The sequence below is a fragment of the Homo sapiens genome, chromosome 17, assembly GCF_000001405.40.
Source record: "Homo sapiens chromosome 17, GRCh38.p14 Primary Assembly".
NCBI classification, from domain to species: Eukaryota; Metazoa; Chordata; class Mammalia; order Primates; family Hominidae; genus Homo; species Homo sapiens.
The window spans coordinates 63,953,917-63,973,417 of NC_000017.11; the positions used below are offsets into that span (position 1 = coordinate 63,953,917).

At 54.7% G+C, this 19,501-nt stretch overlaps 1 protein-coding gene and 1 long non-coding RNA gene across 4 annotated transcripts in view, besides 5 other annotated features; one reads left to right on the plus strand and one right to left on the minus strand.

The window, feature by feature from the left end:
- Positions 1-4,936: part of a locus control region, noted in NCBI's record as "fragment (approximate range) that functions as an LCR in transgenic assays", that runs on past the window's edge. NCBI's record gives the evidence for it as "EXISTENCE:transgenic organism evidence [ECO:0001131][PMID:8524268]".
- SCN4A (sodium voltage-gated channel alpha subunit 4) overlaps positions 1-19,002 on the minus strand; it is a 34,365-nt gene extending 15,363 nt beyond the window's left edge. Inside the window, exons 1-13 of the mRNA NM_000334.4 lie at positions 18,653-19,002; positions 18,436-18,554; positions 18,220-18,309; positions 17,806-17,934; positions 17,246-17,337; positions 14,107-14,439; positions 12,565-12,628; positions 12,186-12,327; positions 10,552-10,761; positions 9,756-9,909; positions 7,277-7,515; positions 5,349-5,522; positions 3,246-3,602 (exon numbers count right to left, since the gene is read on the minus strand). Coding sequence (NP_000325.4) covers positions 3,246-3,602; positions 5,349-5,522; positions 7,277-7,515; positions 9,756-9,909; positions 10,552-10,761; positions 12,186-12,327; positions 12,565-12,628; positions 14,107-14,439; positions 17,246-17,337; positions 17,806-17,934; positions 18,220-18,309; positions 18,436-18,554; positions 18,653-18,925 — 2,376 coding nt within the window. The 5' untranslated portion in view covers positions 18,926-19,002. The remainder of the gene's footprint in view (positions 1-3,245; positions 3,603-5,348; positions 5,523-7,276; positions 7,516-9,755; positions 9,910-10,551; positions 10,762-12,185; positions 12,328-12,564; positions 12,629-14,106; positions 14,440-17,245; positions 17,338-17,805; positions 17,935-18,219; positions 18,310-18,435; positions 18,555-18,652) is intronic.
- Positions 5,045-6,044: an enhancer, noted in NCBI's record as "H3K27ac-H3K4me1 hESC enhancer chr17:62036321-62037320 (GRCh37/hg19 assembly coordinates)". NCBI's record gives its function as "activates a minimal SCP1, AML or CMV promoter by ChIP-STARR-seq in naive H9 embryonic stem cells {active_cell/tissue: H9 hESC(naive)}" and the evidence as "EXISTENCE:reporter gene assay evidence [ECO:0000049][PMID:30033119]".
- Positions 6,045-7,043: an enhancer, noted in NCBI's record as "NANOG-H3K27ac-H3K4me1 hESC enhancer chr17:62037321-62038319 (GRCh37/hg19 assembly coordinates)". NCBI's record gives its function as "activates a minimal SCP1, AML or CMV promoter by ChIP-STARR-seq in naive H9 embryonic stem cells {active_cell/tissue: H9 hESC(naive)}" and the evidence as "EXISTENCE:reporter gene assay evidence [ECO:0000049][PMID:30033119]".
- LOC105371858 (uncharacterized) lies at positions 6,739-12,657 on the plus strand. Of its 3 annotated transcripts, none has more exons than XR_001752969.2 (5): positions 6,739-6,806; positions 9,349-9,398; positions 10,168-10,292; positions 10,633-10,734; positions 12,589-12,657. It is a non-coding gene; the product is annotated as an uncharacterized LOC105371858 (long non-coding RNA). The 3 variants fall into 3 exon arrangements; XR_001752970.2 differs by lacking the exon at positions 6,739-6,806 and adding an exon at positions 8,507-8,629; XR_934910.3 differs by lacking the exon at positions 10,168-10,292.
- Positions 13,375-13,573: a silencer, noted in NCBI's record as "fragment chr17:62044651-62044849 (GRCh37/hg19 assembly coordinates)". NCBI's record gives its function as "represses an EF-1alpha promoter that drives an FKBP-Casp9 reporter gene in an ReSE screen in HepG2 liver carcinoma cells {active_cell/tissue: HepG2}" and the evidence as "EXISTENCE:reporter gene assay evidence [ECO:0000049][PMID:32094911]".
- Positions 14,385-14,885: an enhancer, noted in NCBI's record as "H3K4me1 hESC enhancer chr17:62045661-62046161 (GRCh37/hg19 assembly coordinates)". NCBI's record gives its function as "activates a minimal SCP1, AML or CMV promoter by ChIP-STARR-seq in primed H9 embryonic stem cells {active_cell/tissue: H9 hESC(primed)}" and the evidence as "EXISTENCE:reporter gene assay evidence [ECO:0000049][PMID:30033119]".

Genomic DNA, 19,501 nt, shown 5'->3' on the forward strand with positions numbered 1-19,501 from the left:
CAGCCCTGAAGGTCTTTAATGTGGTCACCCTTCCTTCTACCAGTCTGCCTGGCCCTGGGCAGTGGGAGGAAGGAGAATCCTGGCTGGGGTGAGGGTCCCAGCTCCCATCAGCCAGAAGCATAGCCAGGTTCTTCCTCGGAGCCCTGGGGGAGTGAGAGGGCATGGGGAATTGGGGAGCCTGCACTTGCAGATCCGCCACCCTTGGCCGTCTCCTCGGCGGGTCTCACTCCTGGCTCTCACCAGCCTCCTCCAAGGTCTTCTCGTCATTGTCTTCACTACATTCTGTTGATTATATTCTGTTAATCATGTTAAATACTCTCTTTAAAAACTATCTGAAAACGCTCTTTGAGAGAATGTGCTAGGGGAATTTCCATGGCTCCCTTCCTCCCCGCCATGTCCCCTAGAGGCTTTTCTGCCTTTGCCCCCCACCAAAACGCATTAGTCTTTCTTCTCCCTCTCTGGGGGGAGGCATCCAGTTGCCAGAAACACATCTGAGATGGGAATTAGCTGCTCTCTGGGTCAGCAGGGTTTGCACACGGCTCCTGCCCAAGACAGAAATAGCTGCCCCAGGCATGGGGGAAGGGAGGAGGGGAGGGGGCCGACATCAATTTCCCTGGGGGTTCTGTGCTTTGGGTTACCTAGTCACTTCCTCTTCTTCTTCACAGTTACCCGCAGGAAGTGACCAAGTGCCATAGGTGCAGGGGATGCGGGTCCTCACACTCTCTGGCAGGGTGCCCTGGTGGCCTCTGGCAGACACCTGCTTCTCTGAAGCCTGGGGAGGTGGTGGGAGGGGACAGTGCCCAAGGAGCTGACAGTGCCACCTCCCTGGGCCGTTCCACTCCCTCTGAGCAAACTGGGAGAGCCACAGAGCTGGGCTGGGAAAGGATGTCAGTGGTGTGTTCGTGTGTGCATGTCTGTGTGATAGGGGTGACAGGCACACAGAAGCAGGGCCTGTACTGGTTCCAGACTCTGCAGCCAGATTGCAGGGGCTCCCGTCCCACACACGGGACAGACTCACCTCCCTGAGCCCCTGTTTCCTCATCTATAAAACATGAACCAGCGCGCCCCTCACAGGTGGGCGTGAGGATGAGGTGAAATGAATACATGTGAAGCACCCAGAATGCTGGGTAAATGCTAAATAAATGTCAGCTGTCACCATGCTTCTGCTGATGCTGACGTTATCATTATTACGATACTGTTGTCATTGATGTTATCGTTACTGGAGTTACATGGACCCAGTTCCAGCACCAGCTCTGTTTCTCACTAGTTGTGTGGTTCTGGGCAGTGCCTCCTCGAGAGTGTGGAAATAACATTACCTGTCTCATGGGGTGGCTGAGAGAATTAGGGGCAATGCCAGTAACTCCCTTTGGCAGGGACTGACATACAGTAGGCCCCCCACTGCCAATACAGGAGCATCGCCCTGGTGGCGGGAACCTAAACCAGCACTGCCCTGCCGCACGCCTGCAACACCTGTACTCCCAGCCACGTGGCCAGGCACTTTGGTAAGCACTTGTAAGCGCATGCGTAACATAATCCTTGCAACCACCCAGTGAAAGAGTCATCCCCATTTTCATCCCCGTTTTCCAGATGGGAAAACTGAGGCCCAAAGGGTTAAATAACGGGCTCGAGGTTTCCCAGTCAGTGAGTGGCAAAGTGGGGATTTAAAACGTTTCTGAGTTTCCACACATAGAAACAGCAACTCCCTGAAGACTCAGTCACCCCCAAGTCCTTAGACTTACATCAACAAACTCCTACTCAGGGTCTGCTCTCCCCATCCCCAATCCTGCCCCAAAGTTGGGCCCGGGCACCTTCCCTCTCTCTCCCCACTCCCTAAGACCCTCCTTTCAGGGACAGGAGGCCTGGGTTCTCCTCTGTAGCTGCAGCATAGTCTTCTTCTGCAGCTGAGGTGACACCCCCTTCCCTCTCTTGGTGCTGCCCCCAGCCAGAGATCAGCAATATCTGAGAAGCTCTGTCGCTGCAGCTCAGGGATTCCATAGGCCTTTGGGGAACATGGGGACAGGCGTCTTCCCAGTCCCTGTTGCCCAGGGCAGCACCAGCCACTGCAGGGGGCAGCTGGGCACAGCACTGCAGGGCTCTGGCAGGAGTGACCTCCACTGCCACCCCAAGAAGGGGAGAAGTCAGGGTCACCTCCAGAGGCCCTAGCCGCAGAAATGCTGGCCAGCTGGACCATGGCCCTATACCCTGGCTCTCACCTCCTGGCCCCTTCCTCTGCACCAGCCCCTCATGCCAAGCCCTGAACCACAGTAAGCGGCAGAAGAGATGCAGTTTATGCCATCTCTGCATTTTCCCAATATCTGCACCTGTTTCTTTTTTGTTTTCTAGAGATGGGGTCTTGCTCTGCCCCCCCATGCTGGAGTGCAGTGGCAGGATCACAGCTCACTACAGCTTTGAAGTCCACGGCTCAAACCATCTTCCTGCCTCAGCCTCCCAAATAGCTGGGTTTGGTGTGTGCCACCATGCCTAGCTAATTTTTTTCATTTTTCCATTTTTTGTAGAGATAAGAGTGTCTTGCTATGTTGCCCAGGCTGGTCTTGAACTCCTGGCCTTGGCCTCCTAAAGTGCTGGGACTATGGGCATGAGCCACCACATCCAGCCTGATTCTCTTTTTCGGCGCCTGGACCATAGGCCCTGGAGCAGAGGAGGTCAAGAGGGTGGGAGAAGGCCAGGAGGCCCAGGTTCCCCCACAAAACTGTGCCTTTGTACACACTATGGCATCATCTTTGCAGTGACCTCATGAACTCCCTGTTGTTTTTCTTCTATGTGAGGGTTAGAGAACCCAGCTTGACTAGAGAGCAGCAGTTAGCTCAAGGTCACACAGATGATGGCAAAGGAGCTGGGACTGGAATGTGGGTCTGTCTGACTCATTATCATGTTGCTTTACTCAAAACACTAGGTTCCAACAGCGCTACTCATAGCATGGTCCCAGAACCACCATCAGCATCCACTGATCAGCATCACCTCGGAGCTTGTCAGAAATGCAGGTCCCCAGGCCTAGGCCCAGAGCTGCTGAATCAGACACTCTGGGGGTGGGGCCGGGGATCTATGTTTTAAGTAACTCCTAAGTGATTCTTACACAGGTTAAAATTTGAGAACTACGGGGTTAAACCACATAAAATTGCCATTTTGGAGAGGATGTGTTGGGGAGATAGAAAACAGTCAAATATCAGGTACATCTTGTACGCTTCCCGGGTGAGGGCAGGGGCCACCCAGCCAGCCTCACTCACCACAAGATTGCCGATGACCATGACCATGAGGAAGACGGTGAGGCACATGGCTTGGCCGGCCACCTCCATGCAGTCCCACATGGTCTCGATCCACTCCCCGCACAGGATGCGGAAGACGATGAGGAAGGAGTGGAAGAAATCATGCATGTGCCAGCGCGGCAGGTTGCAGTCCAAGGCAATCTTGCACACGCACTCCTTGTAGCTCTTGCCAAACAGCTGCATGCCCACCACGGCGAAGATGAACACGATGATAGCCAGCACCAGCGTCAGGTTACCCAGCGCCCCCACTGAATTGCCAATGATCTTGATGAGCATGTTCAGCGTTGGCCACGACTTGGCCAGCTTGAAGACCCGCAGCTGCCAAGCAGGGAGGGCAAGGGTGAATGAGGCCCAGGGACCACCACCCAAGGCAGCCCCAGCCTTAGGAGAAAGAACAGTGTCGAGTAGCTTGAATCTCCAGCCCCCCACACCATCTGAGTCCTCAGTGTGCCCTTCTGCTAAATGGGAACACTCATTCTACCACCTCAGGCCCTTCATGTGTTAAAAAGAAAACAAGTCCAGGCCAGGCGCGGTGGCTCACGCCTGTAATCCCAGCACTTTGGGAAGCCGAGGCGGGTGGATCACTTAAGCTCAGGAGCTGGAAACCAGCTTGGCTGACATGGTAAAATCCTGTCTCTACTAAAAATACAAAAAATTAGTCGGGCATGGTGGCGAGTGCCTGTAATCTCAGTTACTCAGGAGGCTTAGGAAGGAGAATCGCTTCAACCAGGGAGGTGGAGCTTGTAGTGAGCAGAGATTGCACCACTGCACTCCAGCCTGGGCTACAGAACAAAACTCCACTAAAAAAAAAAAAAAAAAGAAAAAGAAAAAGAAAAGAAAAGAGAAAAAATGTCATTCGTCATTATCTGTTAAAGATACAGACTATGGCTGGGAGCAGTTGGCTCACACCTGTAATCCCAGCACTTTGGGAGGCCGAAGAAGGTGCATCACTTGAGCCTAGGAGTTGGAGACCAGCCTGGGCAACATGGCGAAACCCTGACCTACAAAAATTACAAAAATTAGCTAGGCATGGTGGTCCCACCTATGCAGGAGGCTGAGGTGGGAGAATCACCTGAGTCTGGGGAGGTCAAGGCTGCAGTGAGCAGTGATCGTACCACTGCACTCCAGCCTGGGTGACAGAGAAACCCTGTCTAAAAAAAAAAATACAGACTAAAGTATTTACAAGTGAAATTATATGTTGGGATTTGCTTTCACAATAAAAATTGGGGGACAGATGCAACAGGAATTGTAGAATGTTGATAGTTGTTGAAGCTGGGTGATAGGTACGTGGAGGTTCATTATACTTTCTCTATACTTTTGTGCATGCATGAAAAGATCCCTTGATAAAGTTTGTTGTTGTTGTTTTTTTTGAGACAGAGTCTCAATCTGTTACCCAGGCTGGAGTGCAGTGGTGCGATCTCGGCTCACTGCAACCTCAGCCTTCCGGGTTCAAGTGATTCTCCTGCCTCAGCCTCCCAAGTAGCTGGGATTACAGGCGTGCGCCACCAAGCCCAGCTAATTTTTGTGTTTTTCGTAGAGACGGAGTTTCACCATGTTGGCCAGGCTGGTCTTGAACTCCTGACCTCAGGTGATCCACGCGCCTTGGCCTCCCAAAGTGTTGGGATTACAGGCGTGAGCCACCGCGTCCAGCTGATAAAGTTTTAAAAAGAATAATAGTGCTCCTTATGGGGTGGTGAAAAGACAGAAATTCAGAGGTCCCAATCCTACTCCTAATGAACTTCCAGAGCCCCGGCTTTCAGGTCTGCAGTATGGGGCTGGAGTTCCTGCTCCACTGCTGCTCAAGGTCATTAAGGAATCAAACCCAGTGTTGGCCTCTGTCACTTGGGTCCCCCCAGCAGCCCTATGAAAGAAGACAGGGCTCTCCTTTTCTCTGTTTTACAGGTAAGAAAGGTTCTGAGAGGTAACAGGTGTGCACAAGGCAGAGGAGGCCTCGTTTTCAGCCCTCTAGCTTCCTGGGGTTTCTCCTCCCATCCCTGTGCCCACCCTCCTTAGTCTCCTCACCCCACCCCCATCCCAGCCCCTGGCCCTGGGGCTTTTGTGTACCAGACGGAAGGAGCGTAGCACAGACAGTCCCTGTACGTTGGCCAGGCCTAGCTCTACCAGGCTGAGGGTGACGATGATGCTGTCGAAGATATTCCAACCCTGCTGGAAATACTCGTAGGGGTCCATGGCAATCAGCTTCAGAACCATCTCTGCTGTGAAGATGCCTGTGAAGACCTAGGGGGTGGCATGAGGCCCTGTCACAGAGCCTCGGGGAGCCCAGGGCCCTGGAAGTCTCCCACCCAACTCCCACCTCCTGGCAGAGGCTGCGGGGGCGGAGGGGAAGGGGTCCAGAGCCCTGAGAGGAGCAGGAGTGGCATGCATGGCCCGTGTGTGTATAAGTGAGTGATGGAGGCAAAGGCCAAGTCATAGGGCCTAGGTGGGTACAACTCTGAGACCCGTTCCCATTCATTTCTGGCCTTGTGACAGTGGGCAAGGCACTTCACTCCTTGGAGACCCAACCCTGTCATAATATTCAACATTTGCAGGGCGCTCTGTGGTTCACTTTGTGACTTCACTGGTATCCTGATCTCTACAATGTTGGGAGGGATTCTCACATGCATTCCACACATGAGCAGTTGAGGCTCAGCTAGCTGGGCAGCTAGCTGGCATCACAGCACCCACATGGGAACGAGCCACATCTCAAGCCCAGTTCTCAGGTGCTCAGTTCAGCATCCTGTCTGTATGCCTACAGCCTCTCCACAGGGACCACTCCCAGGATCTTGCAAATCTTGGCAGACTCAAAGGTTTAGGGCAGGGACCAAAAGGAGCAAAATCAGTGAGAAGAAGACCAGAGCTTCCCCTGCCAACCCTGGACATGGGATCTGAGGATTGCACAGTCCCTGAAAGCTCCCTGGGCACGGCCCCCCTCCTGCCAGGCACCAGCTGCCCTGGGTCCACAGCCTGCCTGGGCACATGCTGAGCCCCTCCCAGAGGCTGTCCCTGGCCACAGCAGGTGCCAAGGCAGCAGCATAGTGTGGGCAGGGGGTGGGCAAGCGGGCAGGCCCGGTCCATCACGCACATCCCAGCAGCTGTGCCACGAGTCCAGAGCACGCCCTTACCCTTCCAGCCCAGCCTGGCCATGGCTGCCTCGGCACCTCTATAGGACAGACGTGCCTGCCTCGAAGGCTGGGGAGCCCAGGGTTTGATTCTCGTGCCACCCACCCAGCCCTGGTTCTCTCCCAGACCCCAAATCTTACTCTCCCTGGCTTCCCCTAACCTTCAGGGTTGGGGAGCATCTCGCCCATTTGCCGTCCTGGAAAAATTGCAAAGGGAATTGGGAAGGGTGGGGCAGGGCTGGAGGAGGAGGCGGCTTTTCCCTTTGTCAGGCTCCTCTGGGGCCGGCAATGAGGTGATAATGCTCCTAATGGGCCTGGATAAGCGGGCGGATCAGTGGTGTCAACAATAGTGGAGCAGGAAAGGGCTGGAGAGAGGAGAAGCCTGGCCACGCTGGAGAAATAGGTGAGGGTTGGGGGAGTAACCCCTGCAGCCCACTGGTCCTGGGTAGCCAGGGCTATAGGTCACACTGCCAGATCCCTTGGCTCCTTTCAGGCCCATGACAACTTCTGGAAGTGGACAGACTTGTCAGCTAGCCCCTTCACCCCTATCTCCACACCCCCATTTCCTCACCCCTGCTTCCAGGGCATGGTCTGGATCCCAGATCCCCAAGAATCTGGACCTTAGGAAGCCCAGCGCCTCAACCCCATCTCCCTGCCCCTAAATGTCCTGAAACCCCAGTTCTGTGTGCCACAGATCACCCCAAGTACCCCCCCCCACATCAACTCATGCCTCCCATATGCTGGGAAAATAACCCCAGCTGTCCGCATGTGTCCCCCACCGTGCCCTATATTTACATACAGCCAGACAGCTCCACTGGGCCCTACCCCCTCCCATCCTGCCCATGAATGATCCCCTCCCCCGCCCCTCCCTACCAGGTTGCCCACAGTGAGCACGTTGTCAAAGTGCTCCGTCATGGGGTAATGTTCCATGGCCATGAAGAGGGTGTTGAGCACGATGCAGATGGTGATGCCCAGGTCCACGAACGGGTCCATGACGATCAGGTGGATGATGTTCTTGAACTTCAGCCACGGGGCGCAGCAGTTCCATATGAGCACTTTGTGGGCGCACTTGTACCACCATGGTGGGCACTTTTGGTGGGCCTCTTCCAGTTCTGGGAGAGGGGTGGTAGCAGGTATCTGGTGAGGATTATCCCCTCACGTGCCCCCGGCTCCAGCTAGAGCTTTTGTTCCACCTTCCAAGCCCCGCCCCTTAGCACTCCACATCTCAACCCTCTAGCAAGGCCTATTCCAAGTTCCACCGCCTCTTGCGTCACCCTTACTGTCACCTCCCCTGTAACCTCCGCCCCACATGGCTTCACCCCAAAGCCCCGCGCTCTGAGCGCGGCCGGCTCCAAGCTCCACCGCCTCAGTGAGCACCCTCCAGATCCCGCCCTCTAACCCCCGCCTACAGCCCCACCCCTGGAACCCCCGCGTCCTCAGCGCTCCGCCCTCTACTTCAAGTTCCACCACCACTCACCGCATCACCCTCCGGACACACCTCTCTAAACCCCGCCCACAACCCCGCCCCTCAAAGCCCCACCTCCTCAAAGCCCCACCCCCGGCTCCAAGCTCCTCCGCCTCACAGAGCGCATCCTCATGTCCGTCCCCTCTAAACCCCGCCCACATTCCCAACTCCTGAGGAAGCCCCGCCTCCTCCCGAAGCTCCGCCCCTTAGTGCAGTAACTCACAGGACCACCTCCTCAGCAAACTTTTCCCCAAGCCCCGCCTTTCAATGCCCTGCCTCAAGCCCCGCCCTCTTGACTCACCCCACAAAGCCCCACCCCTCAGGGAGCTGGACAGGACGCCCACCCCCTGCCAGAGGCCCAGGGCTGCGAGCCTGGCCTGTGAGATGCCCTAATCTGTCTGGGTCCGAGTTCCCAGGGAGAGGCGGGAGGCCACTGCAGGGGCTTGGGTTCCAGCCCCATGAGCTGCTGGCTAGTGCAACTCTGCACAGACAGATCCCTCGGGGATGCACTGTCGGTAATACCGGCCCCTCCAAAGTGTCCCCAGCCGGTCCATCCTTTCCCACCACAGTGGCCTTCAAGAAACATCCCCTGTTCTTGCCACCCCAAAGCCACGAGTGCTTTGTAAGGACCGTGGGACAAAGCTGTTCCTCCTCCTCCTGGCCTTGGTGGGCTGTTTGGCTGTGTGGAAATATGGGGCACGGTGGGGACACATTCGGAGTGTCCTTGGCCCAGGCACGATCTCACTTACTCATCACAGCAGGTAAATACAATCAGTGCCTCCCGGTAAATACAATCAGTGGCTCCCATTTCAAAGACAAAGAAAAGGGACTGGAGTGGGTGGCAGCCCCATGGAGACCCTGGATTCATGCCGGGGAGGGTGGCTGAACCTCCCTCCCACACCCAGTAATTAGCACACTGAGTGTCACTCAAAGCCTCCCCAGTCTGCACCTCCACCCCTACCCTGTGCTTCTGCAGGTGCCCAAACAGTGTCTGAGGCCCAAAACTTCTCACAGTGGTCCCAGGAACGGCAGGGTGGAGAGGCCTCCTCCCCCAGCATTCCCTGGGTACCCTCTGGCAGGGCATATGGGCACCTGGATACCTGTCATACAAGGTCAGGTGACATGGTGACCTCTAGAGATCTGCAAAGTCCTGCAGGGCCCCCAACTCCCTGGCACAAGGCAAGCCGACCTGGGGAGGGAACCACATCTCTGTGTGTCAGAATTCCTTTTCTCTATTGTCCCTTTTTCCTGTGCTTCCTCCTTCCCTCCTGCCTCCCTACTTCCCTCCCTCTCATCCATCCATCCATCCATCCATCCGTCCGTCCATCCATCTGTCCATCCATCTGTCGTGTCGTGTCTATTCACCCTCTCTCATCATGACATCCTTATTCTTCTGAGATTCAGCATGTGGCACAGGGATTGGGGAGTCTGTCACTCTGTTTGGGCAGAATTTGACTTTTGGCCTTTAACTTTTACCCAGAGAACACTTGAGGAGCAGGATGTCCAGTTTCCGGAACATTGGGCCTTCTGGTTAGTATTATTAGCCTGTGCTTCCCATTGGGCAGTCCCCAAGGCCCTCCCGGAAGCCCCCAGTTCCCATAGCAGCCTGGCCTTGCAGCTAGAACTGGGCCAGGTTAAGACAGGACTATATTTGTGACAGCCAGAAATGGCTGTGATAAATATAGTATAAATATAGCCATTTCTTCTATGCCAATATTAAGTTACTGTCCTGAAGCTGGTCCAGCCAGGCCCCACCCTGACCTCAGGGGCCTGAATGGGTAGAGGGGGCACAGGGCACTCACCTTCCATGGCATCCCTATCCTCCTGAATCCAGTCCAGCCAGGCTCCACCCCTACCTAAGTGGGCACGGGGGCACAAGGCACTCACCTTCCATGGCGTCGGAGATGCCGCTGTCTCCGCTGCTGCTCTGCCTCGGGGCTCCCTTCTCCCCTTGCGATGTGTCCAGGCTGCCATTGCAGTCTTTGCCATGGGCTGGGTCCCCATCTGCCTCCCCACCTTCCAGAGCTTGGGCGGCCTTGGCCTGTAGACCAGCAAGAGTGACTGGCAGGAAGTCCAGCTCTGAGCCAGAGGGATGGACTAATTGACCCTCAGAGCTTCTTCCAGAGTCCTTCAGGGTGGCAGCCCCTCTTCCTGGCCTGTGTCAAACTTAGTGCAGGTGGGGGAGGGACCAACCTCCATGGTGGTGGGGGTGACAGGGTAGGGACCAAAGTGACTAAAGACCCTCTGCCCTGAAGACCCTTGACTCTGATGCCCTGACTAACCCTCCACTTGTTGACAGAATGAGAAACTGGTCAGCCGCTCCCTGTGGCCTCATCAGGACCTGCCCTTCCCTCAGTATGGACCTATCCACTACCCAGAAAGCATCACAAAATCAGAAATATTTGAGCTGGAAGAATACTTCAGGTTTAGCTACTCCAGATTCCTTGTTATAGACAGGGAAACTGAGGCACAGAGCAGAGAAATGCTTTTTCTACTGCTTGGATCCCTCCATCCCCCTGCCACCAGCAAAGCTCCCAGCCCAGGGCCTTCTGCTCCTTCTGCCTCAAAACCCCTACCCCTGTACCCTCCCTCACCCTCGGCCCCCCAGGGAGAAGCCAGTGGCAGCCCCGGCTGAGGGCAGGTAGAACCCTGGGTCCTCTATCTCCTTTCCCTGAGTCCAGACCTTCTCCAGCTCCTCCTGGTGCTTTTTGAACTTCTCAAGCATCTGCTGAAACTCCTCCTCTTTCTCCTTATCCTCGGCCAGGGTGGCCTCATTCTGCTCGGCATATGCCATGGCCACCACGGCCAGGATCAGATTGATGAGGTAGAAAGAGCCCAGGAAGATGATGACCACGAAGAAGATCATGTAGGTCTTGCCAGCTGCTCGAAGGGTCTGGGAGTGGAGGGAGAGGGAGTGGAGGGGTCCCATGACGTCCACCTCCTTTGACCCAGTGCCCCTTTCCATACATCCATTGCCCGCATGGGTAAGCAGAGCCCCTCCCTCACAGAGCCTGGGGGACTGATGGCCGTCATTGGCATGCTGAGCCATGTTCTGGGGAACTTCAAAATATCTACTTGGGACTCAAACGTTTCTGGTCTCCTGGCTCAGAGGAGGACCGAAGCCAGGCATCCTGTTATCAGAGAGCCAGGATAGAAAATTGGTGAACATGGGTTTGGGGTCAGCTTGAATTCTAGCTTTGCCACAGTGCCTGGCACCTAGTAAGAACTCAACAAATAGTAGCTATTATTATTATTTAATCAATTTATTTATTTATTTTTAGACGTAGTCTCACTCTGTTGCCCAGGCTGGAGTGCAGCGGTGTGATCTCGGCTCACTGCAACCTCCACCTCCCAGGTTGAAGTGATTCTCCTTCCTCAGTCTCCTGAGTAGCTGGGATTACAGGTGTTTGCCACCAAACCTGGCTAATTTTTGTATTTTTTGTAGAGATGGGTTTCGCCATGCTGGCCAGGCTGGTCTCAAACTTCTGACCTCAAGTGATCTGCCTGCCTCGGCCTCCCATAGTGCTAGGATTATAGGCATGAGCCACTGCACCCAGCCAGTAGCTGTTATTATTTTTGTTATTGTTATCAACACCATCAATGTTAGAAACATCACATGGCATCAGAAGGCACTGTCACTCCAGGCTCAGCCTGCCTTCCCTGCAAACAGTAGAAGGCAAATAAAGTATGGGCAACATCGAATTTCTGTCTTTCTTTTTTTTCAGACGGAGTCTCGCTCTGTCGCCCAGGCTGGAGTGCAATGGCGTGGTCTCGGCTCACTGCCACCTCCGCCTCCCGGGTTCAAGCAATTCTCCCTCCTCAGCCTCCTGAGTAGCTGGGAATATAGGCCCGTGCCACCATACCCGGCTAATTTTTGTATTTTTAGTAGAGATGGGGTTTCACTATGTTGGCCAGGCTGGTCTCGAACTCCTGACCTCGTGATCCGCCCACCTCTGCCTCCCAAAGTGCTGGGATTTCAGGCGTGAGCCACCGCGCCCGGCAGGCAGCATTGGATTTCTAAGCTGCCCTACTGGCTATCATGAGGCCTAGGGGGTCCTGGGCTTGTGCCTATGCTAGGTCCAGACCTTGGCTCTGAAAGCAAAGGTGTGGAAAGAATTAAAGCTGTGGCTTGGCTCGGGGCAGGTGTCTAGTTTCAGAGAGCACAAGCTCCTATAAGGGCACTGCGGGAGTCCATGAGGAGATGGCCCAGTTCGGGGGTTGGCCATCCTGTGGTAGGCCCCATCAGGCCCTGAAGAGGCTGCAGGGATGGAGGGGGAGTGGCTGTAGGGTTGGGGGGCAGGGTGGGGGCAGCTGTACCAGCTGGAAGAGGTTCTCCCAATAGTCCTGTGTCATGAGGCGGAAGAGAGCCAAGAAGGCCCAGCTGAAGGTGTCATAGCTGGTGTAGCCATAGTTGGGGTTCCGCCCGGTCTTGATGCACTCATAACCCTCAGGGCAGTGCCTAGGAATAGGACAGGGGGCTGGGTTTAGGGTGGGAGGAGCACTCCAGCTGGGGGCAGATAGGGACCCCAAGGGAAAAATTCCGTCAGTTCTGCCTGTGTCCCCCAAACAGAAAAGTATTCCATCCATGCCCACAGGTTTCCCTGCACTCCCATGCCCCCCAGGTCCTCATCTCTAATCAGCTCCCACCTTCCAAGACCCCTGGGGTGCCTTTTCTGCATCCCTTAGCATCACTCACCCAGCATCACTGCTGTTCCCACAGAGCAGGGCATCGTTGGAGCCCTCCAGGAAGTAGAAGTTCCCTTTGGGAGTCAGAGGCCACAAAGGAGGCAAGTCACCCACATGGACACAGTGTGAGCACCTGCGCCCATTGCACACCTGTGGACAGGTCTGCGCGTACCACATAAACCAAACGGATGTTCCCTGGCTGCCTCTTCCCCGTCCTTTAAGGACAGCTCCAAGTTCCAAGGTCTCTGGGTAGGGACTCGGCAGGGAGCTCAGCTTGAGCCCTGTCAGCCCAGTGCCCAGTGTGGACGAAAAGTCATGACGCAGCAGTGGCACAGAGACGGAACGTGTACGTGTGTGCATGGGGTTATTGTGTACCTATGTAGGGCCCCTGAGTGAAGGGTGAGTGGGGGCTGGAATCCAGGTGCCAGGGTGAGAAGGGTTACCTTTTCCTAATTTGCAAGAAGGCGCTATGTAGACTAACAGTGGCTGTGTGAGAATGTGTGTGTTTCTGGCATGTGTGCCTGTGAAGATGCATATGTGAATAGGATGTGGGTGTGTGGGTGGGTGATGGTGACCCTGCCAGGATGTGAGCATGTGAAAATGTGGTGTGATGAAGGAGGACAGGGGGTGCACAGGTTAGGGAGTAGGAACTATAGACTCTTGCTTTGCATAGTGAGAGCTTTAGGATTTTTTTTTTTTTAGACTGAGTTTCACTCTTGTTGCCCAGGCTAGAGTGTAATGGCATGATCTCGGTTCACTGCAACCTCTGTCTGCCAGGTTCAAGCGATTCTCCTGCCTCAGCCTCTGGAGTAGCTGGGATTACAGGCATGCGTCACCACGCCCGGCTAATTTTTGTATTTTTGGTAGAGACGGGGTTTCACCACGTTGGTCAGGCTGGTCTGGAACTCCTGACCTCAGGTGATCTGCCTGCCTCGCCCTCCCAAAGTGCTGGGATTACAGGCGTGAGCCACCGTGCCTGGCACTTTAGGGTTTTTAAAACAGTTTGCCATTTGTTGCTGCAGTAACCCTTTGAGGAAGGTATTGTTATCTTGATTTTATAGGTGAGGATTCGGAGGGCTGGGGAGATCAAGTGACTAGTCAGAGGTGACACAGGCTGCCAAGTGCTAGCTTTAAGCTCAGGTCCTCGCCATACTATTTGTCTCATAAGAAGTGGAGACAGGGCGGGGAGCGGTGGCTCACGCCTGTAATCCCAGCACTTTAGGAGGCCGAGGTGGGAAGATCACATGAGGTCAGGAGTTCGAGACCAGCCTGGCCAACATGATGTAACCCTATCTTTACTAAAAATACAAAAATTAATTGGGCCTGGTGGCACATGCCTGTAATCCTAGCTACTCGGGAGGCTGAGGCAGGAGAATCGCTTGAAGCCGGGAGGCGGAGGTTGTAGTGAGCTGAGATGGCACCTTTGCACTCCAGCCTGGGTGACAAGAGTGAGACTCCATCTCAAAAAAAAAAAAAAAGAAAATGTGGAGTCAGAGGCTACCCTAGGGACTGGGACAGGATCCCCCTTGCCCGTCACCCTCCCCATTCTTACCTTCATCACTGATGTAGGCGTCCCAATCAAAGGTATCGTTGGTGGCCCAGCTTGCATGGCTGTTCCACGTGTCGTTGGCATACCATGAGTCATTGCCGTACCACATCTCATTGCCATACCATGTGTCATTGCCGTACCACGTGTCATTGCTGTACCACGTGGTGTTGGTGTCGTTGAACGGCGGGGGCCAGCGCACACACTTCTGCCTCAGGTTTCCCATGAAGAGCTGCAGTCCTACCAGCGCAAAGACGCTCAGGCAGAAGACAGTGAGGATCATCACATCCGACAGCTTTTTCACCGACTGGATCAGGGCCCCCACGATCGTCTTCAGCCCTGACCGCAGAGAGGGCAAGGATATTGGCAGGGGGCAGGGCAGGGTGATAACAGAGCCCCCGCGGCCCCCACCGCCAAGCTTTTTCCTACTCCATCTTCAAGGCTTGACTTACTGAGCACCACTACTTCCCCGAAGCCTTCTGAAATTAACTCCACCCTTCTCTGTTCACATCCTCAATCTGGAGCCCTCAAATGGCCACAGACGCTCAGCCACTAGGAGAATGAACTATAAAGACCTGATGGGCTGTTGCCTGACCTATAGAGCAAACAAAGGCATACAGCAGAGCTTAATACATGTCACTAAGTTAGCGCTGTCAAAGTGTGTTCAACAGAACGCTAATCTCCCATGCTGTGCCCTTAAAAAGGGGGCGTTGATAATGTTTGGGAAAAGCTGCGTTCTAGATTCTGCTCTTGGAGAGTCATTATGTAGTTGATCCTATCAAAGGCTTTGAAAAGTCCTGCAGAAATAAACAAAAACTTTATTTGTATTTATGTATTTATTTAGAGAGAGTCTCATTCTGTCACCCAGGCTGGAATGCAGTGGCGTGATCTTGGCTCACTGCAACCTCTGCCTCCTGGGTTCAAGTGATTCTCCTGCCTCAGCCTCCCAAGTAGCTGGGATTACAGGTGCATGCCACCACACCCAGCTCATTTTTTTGGTACTTTTAGTAGGGATGAGGTTTCGCTATGTTGGACAGGCTGGTCTCGAACTCCTGGCCTCAAGTAATCAGCCTGCCTCAGCCTCCCAAAATGCTGGGATTACAGGCATGAGCCACCTCACCTGGCCTATTAAACAAAAACTTTAATCCCACGTATCCTTAACATATTTGACCACAGAACCCTTTTCCTTAAAATGCCTAGTAGCACCCGAGGAACAGCAGAAGCTCTAGACTGAACTTGAAACATCATTATATTCTTTAGACAGACAAAGGCATAAACGATGCTGAAATAATCCCAGGGGCAGGTTCCCATCACCTGTGGAAGAGCCGTAACTTCTTCCTTGGGCCTAATCGTAGTGCCTCTTGCGTTAATATGACTTCATTTCCTTTTCTTATCCTGATATGGAAAACAAATGCTCGGCAGCCTCCTTATAAAAGCCCTCCTGCGCCCCGAGGATGCTGGCAGCTGGCACAGAGGAAAGGCAATGCCGTCTTGGCTCAGTGGCCAATGTACAGTGTGGAATTTGGGAAGTGCTTCCTCTCCTGGGTCTCACACCTTCCTCGGCTGCAGTCAGAGGGCTTTAGACTAGAAGATAGCTCAGGTACTTTCTTTCTTACTTTCTTTTCTTTTCTTTTCTTTTTTTTTTGAGATAGAGTCTCGCTCTGTCGCCCAGGCTGGAGTGCAGTGGTGTGATCTCGGCTCACTGCAACTTCTGCCTCCTCGATTCAAGTGATTCTCCTGCTCAGCCTCCCAGGTAGCTGGGATTACAGGCACATGCCACCACGCCCAGCTAATTTTTGTATTTTGAGTAGAGACGGGGTTTCACCACGTTGGCCAGGCTGGTCTCAGAGTCCTGACCCCAAGTGATTCACCTGTCTCGGCCTCCCAAAGTGCTGGGATTACAGGTATGGGCCACCACACCTGGCCTCAGGTACTTTCTCATATTAGGATTTAACAATTTTCCCTCTTCCCAGAGCCTGATCTCTATCCTTTTTCTTTCTCTCCTTTACTGGGAGAGAATCTCCAGTTTCTCCACATGCTCTTTTGCAGGTCTGAATGTTCGGATTCTATTGATTTCATGCTTGTTGATGCATTACTTTGGAATTGCTCTGACCTTATTGCTCAGCAGGTGCCTGGTGTGTTCCTAATTGAGCTCTCAGAGCTTGGACTTTTCCTCATGGAGCCTTTTTGTGTCTCTCTCTTCTCTGCTCTGTCTGCTTATTTTATTGAGCACACACGTGTATATCACAAACCATGGGCCAGGGGCTGTGAGGGCCTTACAGATATTAAGGCATTTAATCCTTACAACAATCCAAGGAGTGGTACTATGAGTCTCCATATGCCACAGATAAGGAAACTGAGACATGGACAGGGCGAGGCACTTGCCCAAAGTTAAAGTTAGGAAGTGGTAAAGGTGAGAATTGAACCCAGGCAGTCAGGCTCCAGAATCTGTGCTTTTTTCTTTTGAGACAGAGTCTTGTTCTTTTTCCCAGGCTGGAGTGCAGTGGCAAAATTACAGCTCATAGCAGGCTTGATCTCCTGGGCTCAAACTATCCTCCCGCCTTAGCCTCCCAAGTAGCTGGGACTATAGGAGAGCATAACCAGGCCCAGCTAATTTGTTTTCTTTTTTTTTTTTGAGATGGAATCTCACTGTGTTGCCTAGGCTGGAGTGCAGTGGCGTGATCTCGGCTGACTGCCACCTCTGTTTCCCAGGTTCAAGTGATTCTCCTGCCTCAGCCTCCTGAGTAGATGGGACTACAGGTGCACACCACCATGCCAGGCTAATTTTTGTATTTTTAGTAGAGACAGGGTTTTGTCTTGTTGGCCAGGCTGGTCTCAAACTCCTGACCTTAGTTGATCCACTTGCCTTGGCCTCCCAAAGTGCTGGGATTATAGGCGTGAGCCACCATGCCCAGCTGAGTCTGTGCTCTTAACCAACTTGCCATGCTGCCTCTCAAACGCCCATCCTTCCATGTAGGACCCCATCTGCCCTCTGGTCACGTGGGCCCCTGTATGTCCAGGCTTTGCTGTGAGTTCTACAAAAACACCAGCCTGGGAGTGTTGTGACACTGAGTCAGGTTCCAGGCCTGCACATGGTACGGGGGTCTCTCAGCTCAGGCAGAGGGTCCCTGCACCTCCCCAGTACCTGGGATGACCGTGATGGTTTTGAGGGCCCGCAGCACCCGGAAGGTCCTCAGGGCTGAGATGTTGCCCAAGTCCACAAACTCTGTCAGGTACCTGGGTAGGGGGTGGAGGGGGGTGGGGACTGTCAGAGCCTGGGGTGGGTGGTAGGACAGAAATCAGGGCTCCTCCAGGCCTGGGATGAGGATTCCCAAGAAATTGGGGGTACCACAGGGTCTGGGGGGCAGGGCAGACACCCCCAAAGCTCCTCTGGGAGCCCAAGGGTTGGGAAGGACAGTGCAGGAGCTCTGGGGGAGTGGGGATGGCAAAGATAGCCCGGCTCACCCAGCAGGTGAGGACCCATGGGTCTGTGGGTCAGGGCTGCCTCATGTGATTATCAGGAGTCCATCAGGAGAGTGCTGAGCCAGACCCTGAGAATGGCAGCTTCTAGAATTGTGCAGCTCCCCATCTGCACAACTGACCGATGTCCCCTGCAGCCCTCAGCCCAGGCAGCTTCCCTCTTTAAGGCCTGGCCCCCTCCCCTCACCCACCCCAGCCTCAGGATGTCCTGGGGCCCCTGCTCACGCCATCATGATGACACTGAAGTCCAGCCAGTTCCAGGGGTCCCGGAGGAATGTGAAGTCGTCGACACAGAAGCCTCGGGCCAGTATCTTGATGAGGGACTCAAAGGTGTAGATCCCTGTGAAGGTGTACCTGGGGGGGAGAGGGCCGGCCGGGACAGGCATGTCACCTGGGTAGGGGTCAGTGTGGCAACGACAGACCCCCAGAAGGGAGGGACACAGAAATGAAATATGCCACTCAGGTGGCTAAGGACACTAGCGAGTGATAGCATGGCCACCCCAGGGACTCAAGGTGTGGATGAGGGTCACAATGACAGTGTGTCTCCCTGAAAGACAAGAGCAGCACCACACAGAGGTGCAAACACCTGAGATGGGCTGTGTCCCAGGGCTGGGGAGCTCAGGGAGCAGGGAGACTTACTCCACATTCTTGGACCAGGGAGGCGGGTCACTCATGGTCATGAATACGCAGTTGGTCAAGATGGTGATCATGATGAACATGCTGAACAGCGTGGGGCAGGGTCAAGGAAAGTGAGGAAGCAGCTAGGATGGGAGGTGATAGAGGGTCTCCTGGGCCACAGCACCCCATCTCGCCCATCCCTAACCCCTCCCGCCTCTCCCATCTTGGGCAGGATATGCATGGATGAGCACCTTGATGGCCCCGCGCCTGACTACGCTGAAGGGGCTCAGCAGGTAGAGAGCAGGTGTGGCGGAGAAGCGGAAGATGGCCTTGCCCTTGTTGAGTACGATGAAGGTCTAAGGTGGGAGAGAGGCTGTGAGACCCAGGGACAGACAGACAGGCAGACAGATGGATGGATGGCAGACAGACAGAGGAAGCCTTCCCAGGCCCAGACCTTCTTATTGCTGTAGTAGGGATCCAGGTCCTCCAGGGGGATGCCGATGACCTCCGGCGGGGGGTCTCCGTAGATCATGGGTAGGTTCTTGCCAGCCTCCAAGTCACTTCGTGGCTTCCGTTCGGGCTCCTCAATCTCCATCTGCTTATTCCGCTGCAGCCGGGCCTCCTCCTCCACCGCCCGCTGTTCTATGGCTGCCAGTGACTCCCGGGTGAAGGGGCGCAAGCACTCAGGGCCCAGAGGCACCAGGGTGCACAGAGATGGTCTGGCCATCCTCGCATCCTGGGCTCAGAGACCAGAAGGGTGGTGGGTGGCCTGGGGAGCTGCAGTGCGCAGCCCCGGGGTGCTGGGCGGCCGCCCCTCCCTGGGCGGGCCGTCCACTCCTCACCTCCTGCTTGCCCAGTGGCCGAGCCGGGGAGGTGGGCGTGCAGACTCTATCAGGACTGGGAGATGTGCCTGCAAGGTGCTGCTGCTGCACAGGTGCTGGGCACAGAGCATCACCCCTGGCCCCCCCACCACACTTTCCCCAGAAGTGGCAGCGGCTGCCCTCAGGACCGACGGCAAACCAACCAGATTCTTTGTGGCCTTGGGACTTGGGGTCAACACCCCAGTGCCTTCGACTGCCTCCTGGGCCCAAGCTCCGGGAACTGTGTGGCTTCAGCCTAATGGGACAGAGAGAGAACCACAGCTGGCTGTGCTCAGGCGACCTCTGGATAGGCCAGGATGAGGGGCCTGGTTGGGGGGTTAGATCAAAGTGGGACTGGCACAGGGACTTCACCCTGAGGGCCGACGTGGATCCTGATATTGGCCACCTGGAGATGTAGGTGGAGACCATGAAGGTGGCAGCCA